The sequence below is a fragment of the Homo sapiens genome, chromosome 16 (assembly GCF_000001405.40).
Source record: "Homo sapiens chromosome 16, GRCh38.p14 Primary Assembly".
NCBI classification, from domain to species: Eukaryota; Metazoa; Chordata; class Mammalia; order Primates; family Hominidae; genus Homo; species Homo sapiens.
Genome location: NC_000016.10, coordinates 12,921,963 through 12,938,026, shown reverse-complemented (window position 1 = coordinate 12,938,026; position 16,064 = coordinate 12,921,963). Strand labels below are relative to the sequence as shown.

At 41.4% G+C, this 16,064-nt stretch overlaps 1 protein-coding gene across 6 annotated transcripts in view; it reads right to left on the bottom strand.

Moving 5' to 3' along the window:
* SHISA9 (shisa family member 9) overlaps positions 1-16,064 on the bottom strand; it is a 661,420-nt gene that overhangs the window by 624,991 nt on the left and 20,365 nt on the right. The gene's annotated exons all lie outside the window — the stretch shown is intronic.

Below are 16,064 nucleotides of genomic sequence, written 5' to 3'. Positions count from 1 at the left end.
CTGTATGCTCCTCAAGGGTTTCAATAGTTGGATTCCATTTACCTCTCTGGATTCCAGCTGCCTCACCTTATAAAATCACAGCTGGTACCAATCCTCCAGGCTCAGCTCACAGCAAAAGGGCAAAAGATATATCTAGGTCTAAATAGACCAAAAGCAAAAAAAAGTCTCCAGTATCCACTGTTATGGACTGAATGTTTGTGTGCCCTCAAAATTCATATGTTGAAACCCTAACCCCCAATGGTTCTGTATTTGAAGATGGGGTCTGTGAGAAGATGACAAAGATCAAATGAAGTCATAAGGATGGGGCCCTAATCTCACAGGGTGGGTCCCCTTATCAGAAGAGGAAGAAACACCAGAGTGCTCTCTCTCTTTCCACCATGTGAGGACACAGCAAGAAGGTGGCTGTCTGCAAGCCAGGAAGGGAGCCCTCTCCAAAACTGTCCCTGATGGACTTGGTCTGGTATGTCTACCCTCCAGAATTGTGAGAAAATAAATTCCTGTTGTTTAAGCCACCCAGTCTGTGTTATTTTGTTAGGCCAACCCAAGCAGACTAATATGCCCACTATTAAATGAAATCAGCAAGGTGCAGAAGTGTTCAGAAATGTTAGTAAATGCATAGAATATCTTTGTGAGAACAGACAATAAACTTATTACAGTGGTTGACTCTGGAGAGGAGAATTAGAGTGCTTGAGGAGAGAGGGCACTTAGTGTTTGCTTCACGTCCTTGAATATTGCTTTACTTTCTTTTCTACCATGTACATATTGACCTATTCAAATAGATAAATACGTTAATTTTTTTAAATGTACTATATGTACATGGACAGACTGCTAGACATAAGACACTGCCTAGAGACCTGAGCAAGTCATCCTTCTGGGAAATTCCAAGCTCCACAAATCATCTAAAACTCAATTCTTAAAATTTCAAAAAATATGCACATAGGTGGGCTTGTACAACACAGGGGAAGGAGCTGTGGTTCACAAGAGGACCAGCTAAGTATGTGAAATTACTTGGGGGATATCCTGTGTTCCAGGTTACAATAGTGATCTTAAAAGACAGTGTTGGAGTAAGGAACAAATACACAAACCCCACCGCCCTCTAGCCAACCCGTGCTGTGTGTCAAGGGTGTCAATGGTTGGATTCCGTTTACCTCAAGGGCTTAGACAAATCTGTAAACAAGCAGGAGCCATATGGCATCATTCATAGGCACCGAGTAGGGGTTTTACAAAATAACAGTAGAGTCTTGTCTCGTGTAGAGATCTGAGGCCAGAGGGAGCAGCTAAAATCATATTCAGCCAAAATTACCCATGATGGCTGTTTCTCTGGTTCAGCACCAGATGAAGTAACTGGCTTGTGTTTAGGGGCCAAGTTATATGAAAAATGCATATCTTTAAATGCTAGAATCACACTCTGGAGAAGCTCGTGGGAAGTGAGTCTGTCTGAAGCAAAAGCAGACTCATGTCTCCCATCTCACTTTGAGCATATGCTCATTGTGTGGAATGGGAAACAGAAATACTCACATTATTTATGTTACACTCTCTCTCTTTCTTCCCCTCCTCCATCCCTTCTCCCATCCCTGAACTGAGATCACAGAGTTGAGTTCACATAACTTAAAGACACTTATGCCTCACTGTGCTCCACAGTAAGGTAAGAGAATATGACATTGGACCAACCTGGCTCCTACTCCAGCCATGGAAACCTAGAAAATTATTATAATCAGATCCCAACTGCTCAAGTATCCCCAGTTTCCTAGCAACCCTCAAAAGGCTTTGGAGAAGGGTGGGAACAAGGACTTCCTGGGTAAGGTGGTGGCAGCTGTTTGAGATTGCTGGAGAGCTTCCCCAAATTGTCTTAAAGGCCTTTCTCACCCGTCATCCCAAGAACCCAACGAAGCACCTGCTAGCGAAGGGACATCAGACGATGCATCTACTCAAGAACTCCCAGAGACTCCGTTCTAAATTCCCTTACCTGGACTTCTAAGCCTTCCATTTGTCAGTCGGCTTCATCACTCCTCACTCTGGAAGGCAGCCCCTCTCTTCAAGTAAGGCTAGTTCCTTTCCACCTGCCTCAGTAGCCTTCTGAGAACACGTTCCCTCCTGGCCCTCATGTCCACTCACATCTCCTTCCCCTCAATATATCCTCCATCTCATATGTCCCTTCTTTTTTTTTTTTTTCTTTTTGAGACAGGCTCTTGTTCTGTTTCCCAGGCTGGAGTACAGTGGCACAATCTCTGCTTACTGCAGCCTCAACCTCCCCAGGTTCAAGTAATCTTCCCATCTCAGCCTCCCAAGTAGCTGGGACCACAGGCACGTGCCACCATGCCCAGCTACTTTTTGTATTTTTTGTACAGATGGGGTTTCACTGTGTTGCCCAGGCTGATCTTGAACCCCTGAGCTCAAGTGATCCACCTGCCTCAGCCTCCCAAAGTGCTGGGATTACCAGCGTGAGCCCCTGGGCCCGGCCTGTCCCTTCTAATTATTCGATTTTCCTTCCCCATGAATGAGCTTCCCATGATCACATATGCCCATTTTTGCTGGAGACATTCCATAGGCTTCATTATTATGCCTAGTTAGAGACAAAAAGCAAACACACGCCCACAGATAAGGAGCACCACAGGAGCTAAGCCACAGGGCAAGAAAATAACGCAGGAAATATCATCAGCAGCATCTAGATGTTGGTAGAATTCTAAGGGATGGAAATGACTTGGACAGATACCAAGATATACATAAATGCAGAGAAGAGATCAGAGAGGAGATGGAATTTGTTTGGGTCTTTAGAGGTTTGTTTGTTTCCCTTTTTGAATACTCATGATCCATTTCCTACTTCTTCTGACCAGCATCTCAATTTTATGGTGGAGACTTTCCTATTCCTCACTATGTGCAGTTTTGGTGAGACTGTCACTCAAAGCCCCTGTCCTTCCCAGCCAAGGGGTGAGCATGTGACTCAATATGGACCAATCAGACCGTCAAGTTTAAGAATCTTACACTTGAATGGACACAAAGAGAGACAAAATTGTTGGAATAATTCATATCAGCAGGAGAGCTCCAATAAGACCATGGTTGGAGCTGCCCTGGTTCCTGACATCCCAAACTTGGACCATCAGACGTTCCTTCAGTTCTATGAGCCAACCCATATTCTTCAAAAGATTTCCCTTTTTTGCTTAAGTCTGAAGAAGAATTGACTTTTGTTGCTTGTAACCAAAATTTCCTGACACAAACTATTTACCCTAAGCCTTGAAGGATGAGAGAGATGAGGGTACAGAGAGGAGAGGAAAGAAAATTATTGATGGCTTTGGCTTTCACTTCCTTTGGTAAGCGATTTTAAAGGGGCTTGGCTGATAACTTTGAAATGTCCATAGGGCAAACTCACTGTGAATGAAGCCTGCCTGAAAACAAAATGTATTGCCTTGAGACATAACGAATTTGCCACCATAGAAAGTGATTAAGGAGGGCCAGCTAAACATTAATCCAATAGCTTTCTTCAAAGTCTTCTCTCCAGAACATTATTTCCCCTATATATCAATAGTTGTTACATAAAAAGGTGTTTAATGGATATATCAGTTTGAAAAACACTGGGATGAACATAAATGTAAATGGCTTTATTGCATATATTCTAGGAGTCTTTAATTTATTTGGCCAAGGAACTCTAATTTTGAAGAACATTTCAAAGGACTAGTGTTCAATGGAGCATCCACTGGGAAGCATTATTGGATGGTCAGGTCAAGCATTGACACACAATAGGACATGTATAAAACACCTAACATACTGTCTAGCGCATAGCAGTTGCTCCAGAATTCTAGCTATAGTCTATAATCAGTATCTTACTTTGTTCCTTTTTCTGAATAGCATTTCCCTACATTTATTTATATAATCTCATCCCCTCCCTTGCCAGACTTCAGCCCCACTGGACTTCCACAAGCATGATGAATTTCTTTCCTGTCTCAGGGCCTTTGCACATCCTGCGGAGTTTTTTGTTTTTTGTTTTGGCTAGAATGCCCTTTCCCCCCACTCTTCACTAGATTGGTTCTTCCCATCCTTGGGTCTCATCTTAATGATCACTTTCTCAGTGACACCAGCCTTGTTATTTTTTCTCCCATCACCTTCCTCATTTTCCTCCATACTTATCACCCTCTTAAATGTTTTATTTACTGGCTGTGTGAACAGTCTTCCCCCACTATAACATAGGCTCCCGTGGTCAGAACCCTGGCTTGTTTTTTGGTTCATTAACACAGTGCCTAACTAGATAACACAAGAAAAAGATTTGTTGAATGAATGTGTACTATGGAAGTCATTCTCTAGATAAAGGATATGGCACAACATAATGTGCCCCATTTTCAACAGCAGATTTGCAAGAAGACAGAACCATTCTTTATGTTTCCCTTTGTTATATCAACTATGTTTTTTAAATCAAGGATATACTATTAAAAGACAATTCTGGGCTGGTCATGGTGGCTCACACCTGTAATCCCAGCACTTTGGGAGGCCAAGGAGGGCAGATCGCCTGAGGTCAGGAATCCAGACCAGCCTGGCCAACACAGAGAAACCCCATCCTACTAAAAGTACAAAAATTAGCCAGGCACAGTGGCATGCACCTGCAGTTCTAGCTACAGGGACTGAGGCTGAAGCAGAATTGCTTGAAACCAGGAGGCGGAGGTTGCAGTGAGCCAAGATCGAGCCACTGCACTCCAGCCTGGGTGGCAGAGCAAGACTCCATCTCAAAAAAAAAAAGACAACAAAGACAACTCTGAATTGGCATTCCTATAGAAAACTAAAGGAATGCAGTTCTGATATGTGGTTTTATGGTGGTCTGACTCGATGCAGGGAAATAGCTTAGAGAATATAAAAGAATAAAAGTTTATTATATGTTTCAAATTATTCATTCATATATTCATTCATTCATTAAACAAAGATATGCTAATCACCTACTATACATCCAAACACCATATGTTAGGCACTACGTATTTGAGGCCTTCCCAATCCATCAATTTGGTCTATATTCCCTCATTTTATATATTTACCTCCCCTCATTTGCAAAATCATAAGTCCTTTGAGGGACTTTTATTATATCTGTAGCAGAAATAAGAGAGTAAATAGATGGCACACGAGCACCATCCTTCTGTTCTTTTCTCACAGCAGACATGGCTAATCAATCACAGCACTCATGCCCACTGAGCTGGAATATGGCCTCCAAATCATCTTCAACACTCCACTGCAGGGAGCCACGACATGTCATCAGTGACAACACCCAAAATGAAACCTACTTGCCTACTCTGGATGGAAGAAACAGCCCAGGCTTCAGAGTCAGACCAAACTGTATTATAACCCTGACCCTGCTATATACTTGATGGAGAGTCTGTGTCTTTTACTCTTTAAGATCTAGATAACCCAGGCAGGCACAGTGGCTCACACCTGCAATCCCAGCACTTTGGGAGGCCAAGATGGGCAGATCACCTGAGGTCAGGAGTTCTCGAGACCAGCCTGGCCAACATGGTGAAACCCCATCTCTACTAAAAATACTAAATTAGCGAGGCATGGTGGCGCTCACCTGTAATCCCAGCTACTCAGGAGGCTAAGGCAGGAGAATCTCTTGAACCTGGGAGGCAGAGGTTGCAGTGAGTCCAGATCGCACCACTGCACTCCAGCCTGGGTGACAGAGTAAGACTCCATCTCAAAAAAGAAAAAAATCTAGATAATCCTACCCACTTTGCAGAGTTGTGAAGTAAATTAAATAAGATATATTTGAAACACCTATCATACAGCAAATATCCCATAAATGCTAACTATGAGTGTTATTACTTGTATTAGTCTGTTCTCATGCTGCTAATAAAGACATACCTGAGACTGGGTAATTTATAAAGAAAAAAAGGCTTAATGGACTCACAGCTCCACATGGCTGGGGAAGCCTCACAACCATGGCAGAAGGCGAAGGAGGAGCAAAGGTACATCTTACATGGTGGCAGGCAAGAAAGCATGTGCAGGGGGACTGCACTTTATTAAAAAACCCATCAGGTCTCATGAGACTTATTCACTGTCACAAGAACAGCATGAGAAAAACTTGCCCTCCATGATTAAATCACCTCCCACCAGGTCTCTCCCATGACATGTAGGAATTATGGGAAGCACAATTCAAGATGAGATTTGGGTGGGGACACAGCCAAACGATATCATTACTTTTACCCTGAGTATGCCTCATATGGTGTTTCACATACAGTACTTGCTTAATAAAATGGGCAACTTCATCTGACCTAGCAATCCCATGACTGGGTAAATACCCACCTGTATGTTCATCACAGCACTATTCACAATAGCAAAGACATGTAATCAACCTAGGTGCCCAATAAACATGGACTGGATAAAGAAAATGTGGTACATATACACCATGGAATACTACAGAGCCATAAAAAGAGAATGAAATCATGTCCTTTGTGGCAACATGGATGCAGCTGGAGGCCATTATCCTAAGCAAGTTAACACAGGAACAGAAAGCCAAATACCACATGTTCTCACTTATAAGTGGGATCTAAATACTGGGTAGACATGGACATAAAGATGGGAATAACAGACACTGGGAATGCTAGAGGGCGAGAAAGGGAGAGATGGGATACAAGGGCTGGAAAACTATCTACTGGGCACTATGCTCACCACCTGGGTGACAGGATCATTTGCACCCCGGACCTTAGCACCACACAATATACCCATGTAACAAACCTGTGCATGGTCCCCCTGAATCTAAAATGAAAGCTGAAATTGTTTTAAAAAGTGAAATAAAATGGGCAACTTCAATAACACACAAAGATCGAAAACCAGGAAAAGGTAAGCAAGAAGAACCTCCTCCCTCCATCCCCTGTATCCACTACATAATACATCCCACTTTCCTCCCGTACTTTTACTAAAAGTTATCCTGGGAGCACAGGGGATGCTCCCAGCATTCGTGACGGAACATCCAGAGACTGCATCTTTTGTTCTTAAGTGCTTTTCTTAGCTTGACCTGATTTTGCTCCAGGGGTGGGGATTATAAGATCTGGTAACACATTTGGGGTATTTTTGGATTCAAAGTCAAAGAGTAGGTAAGTGCTTGATTTTAACCACAAATAAGCCAGGGCTTGGGGCTTGCCATTGGATGATTGCCTTATTATAGGATATGAAATTGATCTGTGGAGTTGTTATGGGTTTTTTTCCCTTTGTACCTATCACTTCCTCTCTCTGTGTTTTAAGACTTTCTTTTAAAAATAATAGTTAAATGTGAAACATAACTGTTAGAGATTTAATAGTCTGTTTGGCAATGCACTAAAATCAATATTGTGACCCTAAGCAGGAGATTATTAAGGTTACTTTGCATCACCAGTGTTAAGGTTTTTTTCATTATTATTCACATCAACACGACATAGTCATGTCATAAATATTAAACACACCCAATTCCCTCCTTAGTTTGCTTTCATGCTAGTGAAATTGAGGGTCAGCATGGATCAGGACATTAGGAGGCAAACTATGATACAGAGAAGCCGAAAGAAATGAAAAGGAGGAAAATGCTTTTGACAAAAATCAATTGTGATTGAATTGGTGGGCCGAACTTTGAAAACACTGCCTTTGTGTGACATTTCATAATCGCCAGGTAATGCTGGAATATGTATTCATGAGCTTTTAAATGTATGCAACAACTCTTGATACTCAACTTGGCATTTGCTAGACTCTGATAACAGCACTGAAGGTTTAGTCCACAAGAAATAAGATCCCAATGAATTGACAAAGAAAAAGTAATAGCAGCATTTACTTGATAAAATGTGCTCAGTATTGTATGTTGACAGCATTTATTCCATCTGAAAAATTTTTATAGAGCACTTTCTGTGTGCCAGGCACAGTTCTAGGCACTGGGAATACAGTAGGGAGTGGGAGGAAGATTCCTGGCCTCCTGGAGCTAACATGTTGTGGGGAAAATGTGAAAGGAGCAAGTAGACAAGATGACTTTAGGTAGTATATGAACTATGATGAAAATAAAACAGTGACCTAATAGAGAAGGATGATGGTGAGATCTTTACATGGGCTGGGATATTTTCTGTAGGTAAGGCCCCCCAAAAAGATAACAGTTTACCCAAGACCTAAACAATGAGAAGGAGCCAGCATTGCAAAGATCTGGAGGAAGCTTGTTGCAGGCAGAGGGAAGAGCGTATGTAAAACCCCTGAAGTGGAAGCAATTCTGGGACATTTAAAACATGTTTTTTTCCCTTCAACTTTTATTTTAAGTGCAGGGCTACGTGTGCAGGATGTGCAGGGCTTTTTTACATATATAAACGTGTGCAGTGGTGGTTTGCTACACAGATTATCCCATCACCTGGGTATTAAGCCCAGCATCCATCAGCTTTTCTTCCTGATGCTCTCCCTCCTCCCAACCCCCGAGAGGCCCCAGTATGTGTTGTTCCCCTCCCTGTGTCCATGTGTTCTCATCATTCAGCTCCCACTTATAAGTAAGAACATGCAGTGTTTGCTTTTCTGTTTCTGCATTGGTTTGCTGAGGATAATGGCTTCCAGCTCCATCCATGTCCCTGCAAAGGACAAGATCTCGTTCCTTTTTATGGCTGCATAGTATTCCATGGTGTATCTGTACCACATTTTCTTTATCCAGTCTATCATTGATGGGCATTTAGATTGATTCCAAGTCTTTACTATTGTGAATATTGCTGCGATGAACATACAGGTGCATGTATCTTTATAATAGAATGATTTATATTCCTTTGGGTGTATACCCAGTAATAAAATTGCTGGGTCAAATGGTATTTCTGCTTCTAGATCTTTGAGGACTCACCACACTGTCTCCCACAATGGTTGAACTAATTTACACTCCCACCAACAGTGTAAAATCATTCCTTTTTCTCCTCAACCTCGCCAGCATCTGTTATTCTTTGACTTTTTAATAATAGCCATCCTGACTGACATGAGATGGTATCTCATTGTGGCTTTCATTTGCATTTCTCTAATGATCAGTAATGTTGCACTTTTTCTATGTTTTTTGGCCACATGTATGTCTTCTTTTCAGAAGTATCTGTTCATTAAAACATGTTTTTAAAGAATAGTACCAGTATCTGAAATTAGCCACTTCTAAGCTGATTAGCAGAACCAAAATGTTCACAAGAAACAGTTTGTTTAATATGCTTATGCAACGTCTTTGTCAGTTATTATCAAAGAATTGTTTGATGACATTCTTTGACTTGATATATGCACTAAATTTTTAAAAATAATGCCTCTGCAGAATGAGGAGCTTCTTCCATTCCTTGTTGCTATTCAATAAAGGAAAGTAAATACCACATGCTGCCCTTGCACAACTTCCAATTCAAGGGTTGTAGGCAATTCAATATTTTGTTAAAATGTCAAGAATATCTGAATATTTCAAAGGGCTTCCTTTGGATAGTAGGTGAGGCATCAAAACTAGAGAAGTTCTACACCAATAACAATGAAGTCCATCCCTTTTGTTCACATCCTTATGTCCGTCTTGGAGAACTGAAAAGTTAACATGTATTTGTGATCAGTAATTGTGTCCTAAATATTCAATGACTATTTTTAAAACAGTATTAACCAGACAAGTTTCATGGTTGTGTACCTTAAGGGAAGCTCATGCTTCTTCCTAGACCTCAGTGTCATTATTTGTAAAATGCAGACAATGGATGGTCTGATTATAAAGCCTATAAAGTCATGCACACACACATACACACACACACACACAACCAACCTCTGCACCCCTAATGACAAGCCCCAGTGCCTAGTATTTAGTAGGTACTCAATAAATACTCATTCATTAAGAAAAGAACCAAAAATGCAAATCTATGTTCTCATTTCCAACTGATTAGGGGCAAAAAAAAAATATAAGATAAGAAAAAGTAAGGACAGTGGAATTAGTTTTTCATGAGGCTAACTTCATTTAACTTAGGCTTTGTCTTTTATTTTGAGAACTACTTCTAACCTAAATTGTTTGATGTTAAAATGCCCTTATCTTTTGTGAAATGAAAGCAATTGTTTTTAAGTAGTTTCTTTTTACTTAATTTTCTTTTTTGGCAAAATCGAAAAGTCAGCACACTATGCTGGTCTCCAATTCTTCTAATTGTTTTAACTTTTAATCATCTTTGAAACCAGAAGTGTGGTATACCAAAGGCAAGATGGTACCTAAAGCTCCCTCCACCTCCAAAATGTGATGAGATAGACTTTTCTGGCTGGGTGGTTTGAACTGGATAACTCCCTCCATGGTGTGGTTCAGCACCGGGGACAGATCTATGGGGGGTGGGAGCCCATGTCCTTTTGTGGCCAAAGATTTGGATCTACATAAGTAAAAAACAGGCAGTCATGGTGGTTCACACCTGTAATCCCAACACTTTGGGAGGCCAATGCAAGAGGATTGCTTGAGTCCAGGAGCTCGAGCTCAGTCTGGGCAACATAGCAAGACCCTGTCTCTACAAAAAAAAAAAAAAATCAAAAAAAATTAGCTGACATGATTGCACATGCCTGTGGCCCCAGCTACTTGAGAGGTTGAGGTGGGCAGATCACGTGAACCCAGGAGGGTAACACTGCAGTGAGCTGTGATCTCACCACTGCACTCCAGCCTAGGCGGCAGAGCAAGACCCTGTCACCAGATAAATAAGTAAGTAAAAAACAGCTATGCTTTGAGATTGGCAGTCTTGGTATGAGCACACAACTCCAGACCTAATACCTAAAGTAATGAGTTTAAGTCTCCATTTAATGAAATATTCAGATTATGATTATACTTAGTTTCATTAACTGCATTCTCAGACTAATGTAACAGGATTTCCTTTTCACCTTGTAATTAACTTTATTGAGAATGCTTATTGGGATTTTTCTTTTTGGCAGTTTCCTAAAACCTTATTATAAATTATTTTAATATATGTATTACGATATTAGTAATGTTACTTAATTTTATATTGGCTGTTATTATTAAAAGAAGAAAAAATTCAACACTAATCTATTAAAGGAACAGCAGGCTGACTGAAAAAAAATCTGTATTCAGCTCCTAACAGCTGATCCTGAAATTTCGGTCCTCCCATGGCCGACCTGGCATTCTTATTTTCCAACCAAAAGCAGTGTGGTCCTTGTAGAACAAAATCCTCTTCTCCCTGTATGCAATTTGTACAAAATTAATCAGACCTGCAAGAAAGATCTATAGTGTAAGACAAATAGTCCTCCCCTCAGTCAGCGGTGGGCAAAGTCAGTCCATGAAAATGTTCTGCTTTTCTTCACTCTGATTCGTAGCAAGTTGATGGGAAGTATTTTTCTTTCAGAGCAAAATATCTGTTTCTCAGGAAAGGCCATCCTAGTATCTCTTCCCTCCCTTCTAGCCCCAATGTTACCAGGCACTATTTATGTTACTAGGCAGATGTTTTGTGGAGGCCTCCTTCTGGCTCCATGGCACCCTGAACTTACTCCCACCATGCTACTTTGCAATTACGTGATTACTTTTCCATTTCTCCCACTGTAACATAAGCTCCAAGAGGATATGTCCTATTTATGTCTAATTCATCCTTGTACCTCCAATTCCTGGCACATTGACTGGCACATAGCAGTATTTTAATAAATATCAGCGGAATGTTGATTGAATAGAAATATTAATTATAGGAAAGCAAACAATTAGCTAAAATCTGAGTCCTCCAGGACAGAAATGGTGACTTTATCTCGGTTGGTCCATTTTCAAAGGTGAATGTAGTCTAATACTGCAATTCTCAGCAGGGATCAATCAGTAAGGAAAACAAATAGAAAAAGAGGCATAATCTGGTATATCGCCCAGTATAGGTCCTTTAGAAAGGCATGAGAAAGGTCATAACTAGAGTATAAGGTTTAAAGCCAGGTAGACATAGTTCATGTCTGTGGTTTGAATTACTCAGCAAATATCTCTGTGACCTTGGGCAGGTTACTTAAACTCTCTGAGTCACAGTTTCTTCATCTACAATATGTGAGTGCAATACACATTTCAATTATTTTATGAAGATGTTGTGAGAAGCAAAATGCAGTCCAGGCACGGTGGCTCACGCCTGTAATCCCAGCACTTTGGGAGGCCGAGGCAGGTGGATCATCTGAGGTCAGGAGTTCAAGACCAGCCTGGCCAACATAGCGAGACCCCATCTCTACTAAAAAGAATAATAATAATAATACCAAAAAGAGCATGCATGTGATAAGTACAGAAAAAAAGCAATTGTTTTATTTATTACTCCTTTCAATCCACACTAAGTATCAATGCTATAGTAGGCATTTCCTATCACTTAATCCAGATATTCCAATAGAAATGCTCTATGAAAAGAAACGTGTCCAAGGATAAGCTTTCCCTGGTATGGAAGGAACAGAACTTGGCATCTTTTAAACTAAACCAGACACTGTGTTGAGCACTTAGGCTTTCTTTACAAATAGTCCTACAGCTGGTTGGAAGCACTTGGGAAAGGCAATGCAAATCTAATTAGGCTATGCCATGTGGCCAGCATTAGTAGCAATTTTTGAAAAGAGCCCAGGAGACAACTTACAGAAAGTGATTTTTTTCCCTTTAAGGGTTGTCTTTCTCTGTTGCTTGCACACACACACACACACACACACACATACACACACACAATCTCATTTTCTGGGTGCAAATATAAGACATGCTGGGGACCATACAGATTCTTACTGACCTGGTCTGCCAGTAAGACAAAATAATCAGTAATTCCTAACAGAACAAAAGCTCATGTGTTTTAAGTGGAAAGAGAAGAAAACCGTAAGACAGGAACAAATGGCAAAGAACAGGACAGCTGCTCCATCCAAGCTATTTCCTTGGGAAGGAATTGACGGTTTCTTCATTTCTCATCTGCATTGAAACATTAGTAATAACAAACACTCCCATGCACACACACACACGGTGTTATCAACTGGCACGCAGAGTGAAAACATTTTCACTGTGAAGACAACTGCACAATGAATTCATGCCGATTTGTATCATTGTCCCCTAATGAACAGCCAACTTTCGCACCAATAGTCACTCATTCTACAAACAATATTAGTAACAACTAATATTTATGTTACCAGGCACTATGCTAAGTTCTTTACATGTGTTAATTAATCCTCACAACAACCTTGTAAGGTAGACATAGTTTTACTCCTTTTATAGAATGGGAAACTGAGGTTCAGAGAATTTGATTAATGTTTCCAAGACTGCACAGTGAACAAGTACACAGCAAATACCCAATCTTGGTTGTCTACCCCTCAAGTCTGTGTCCCCCACTTCTTCATTGCACTCCCTCAAAGCCATGTTCAATGTCAGAGATCCATCTATACCACTTAATACCATACCTCAAGAGAAAAACCAATTTCTTGATCTAAAACAATCAAACTCATTTCAGGCTACTGTGCTGAACCTACAAACATATTTTAGCTAATCTAGTGTAGAGCATCCCCTCACTCTTAGTAACTACTTAATTTACTAACCCATATGCCAAAACCCTTAGAATCATAGATCTTCAGATAGAACAACTAGTCTGCCCAACTATGAAAAAGAACTAAGTTTCAGGAATAAGAATGTTGGTGGCTGTGACTTCCTAGAAAAGAATCAAACCTTCACATGAGTTGAAATTAGTCAAGTTCTCTCAAAACTCAAAATCCTAAGAGTCCTAGAGTTTCACTGGGCTTTTAATCAAGTTTGTGCTAAAGAGTCATTCATATATTCATTCATTCAATAACTATTTATTGAATACAGCATATTGTCTAGACATTGGCAATACAGGGATGAATAAAGCAAATGCATCCCTGCCCACCCCCAAGGAAGATTCAAACAGCCGTCTACCTCGCCTTTCCCTCCTCATGCACACCTTTCTTGGAGAACCTGCTCCACTACAGTGCTAAGGAATAATCCTAAAATGCACGCCACCCCACTCAACTGATGGAAGCAGGGTCAGACCACTGATCCATTGACTGAAGCCAGACCACTGACTGGCTGGAAACCACTCATATTCTCTCTCTCTCTGGATAATTTGGACTAAGAAAAGATGCTTTTCTCAGTCTACCTCCTGAAGTTCTTGAGATGGTCCTGATCCCTACCCCTCCTGAGACTCAAATATTCACTGTGAGACAAAGCATGTGCAAGCTGTGGAGTCGGACAGACCTGGGTTTGAATCCTGGATCCTCTATTTATTAACTATGATGTCACTGATAACTCCTCTAATTTTTTTTTTTTGGAGATGGAGTCTTGCTCTGTTGCCCAGGCTGGGGTGCAGTGACGTGATCTCGGCTCACTGCAAGCTCCGCCTCCCAGATTCATGCCATTCTCCTGCCTCAGCCTCCCAAGTAGCTGGAACTACAGGCGCCCACCACCACGCCCAGCTAATTTTCCTCTATTTTTTAATATGTTATTATATATATTTTCAAATAGGCACAAACATGGAATAGAATAATGAACTCCCATGTATTTGGTTAACCAGCTACAATAAATCTCAATATTTTTCCGACTGTTTCATTACCGTCTCCCAAAATTTCTTCTTCTTTTTTTTTGAGACAGAGTTTTGCTCTGTCATGCAGGCTGGAGTGCAGTGGCATGATCTCAGCTCACTGCAGCCTCTGCCTCCCAGGTTCAAGTGATTCTCATGCCTCAGCCTCTCAAGTAGCTGGGATTACAGGCATGCACCACCACACCAAGCTAATTTTTGTGTTTTTGTAGGGACACGGTTTCGCCACATTGGCCAGACTGGTCTCAAACTCATGGCCTCAAGGGATCTGCTGCTTTGGCCTCCCAAAGTGCTGGGATTACACGTGTGAGCCACTGCACCTGGCCCCATCTCCCACAATTTTATATGGAGTATGTTTGAAGCAAACCTCAGTCATCATGGTAGATTAGTTCTTTAATTTCCACCAATCTCAATTTTCTCATTCATCAAATGAGAGTATCTTCCATGGGCTTTTTTATTCATTGGACAGAAATGTATAGAGCTACTCGGAAGGCTGAGGCAGCAGGATCACCTGCGGTCAGGAGCTCAAGACCAGCCTGGGCAACTTGGTGAGACCCATTTCTACAAAAATAAAAAATAAAATGTATAGAGCTGCTGCCATGAGTCAGCCCAGTTCCTGGTGGGGCAGGGGCGGTACAGTTGTGACAATAGAAAGCATTTTCTCCCCTGCAGCTTACATTGTAGTAGAAGAGGCATAAATAAAATAATGAGTGAGACAACTTCCAAGAGAACAAAATGCTATAAAGAAAATGGGGGCCAGGTGTGGTGGCTCACACCTGTAATCCCAGCACTTTGGGAGGCTAAGGCACGTGGATCACCTGAGGTCAGGAGTTCAAGACCAGCCTGGCCAACATGGTGACATTCCATCTCTATTAAAAATACAAAAATCAACCGGGTGTGGTGGCATCTGCCTGTAATCCCAGCTACTCAGGAGGCTGAGGCAGGAGAATCGCTTGAATCTGGGAGGCAGGGGTCGCAATGAGCCAAGATCGTGCCCCTGCACTCCAACCTGGGTAACAGAGCGAGACTCCATCTCAAAAAGAAAAGAAAAGGTTGGGGAAATGGGAAATAATGGATGACTTGAGGGGCAGATGTAGACAGTGAAGTCCTCTCTAATGAGATAGCCACTGGGGTATGAGGTGAAAGAGGAAAGATCAGATGCACAGAGGGCTGGAGCAGTGTGCTGTAGGCATGAAGCACAACAGGTGCAAAGCCCCTGGGGCAGAATAGAGCCTGGCTCTTTGAGGGTTGATTGAGAACTAAATGAGCTAATATATTCAAACCATGTAGTAACTTGCTCAATAAATGTTAGTTGTTAGTAAGGCTGTAAATTGGATGTATATTTTGGAAACAGCTCTCTTTCCTAAAATGCCAATGGATATTTCCATTTACTTAGCATATCTTTCAATAGTTTCTACTCCCAGAGGAAGACCCACTCACACTGCAAACACCTGTATCACAAGAAAAGGCAATAGAATGTAGTGGTTATAATCACAGACCTTGGGGCCCTGACTGGCTCAGTTCAAATCCCAGTGTCACCACTAAGTAGCTATACAAACTTTAGACAAGCCACCTAACCACTCTGAGCCTCAGTTTCCCCATCCTTATGAT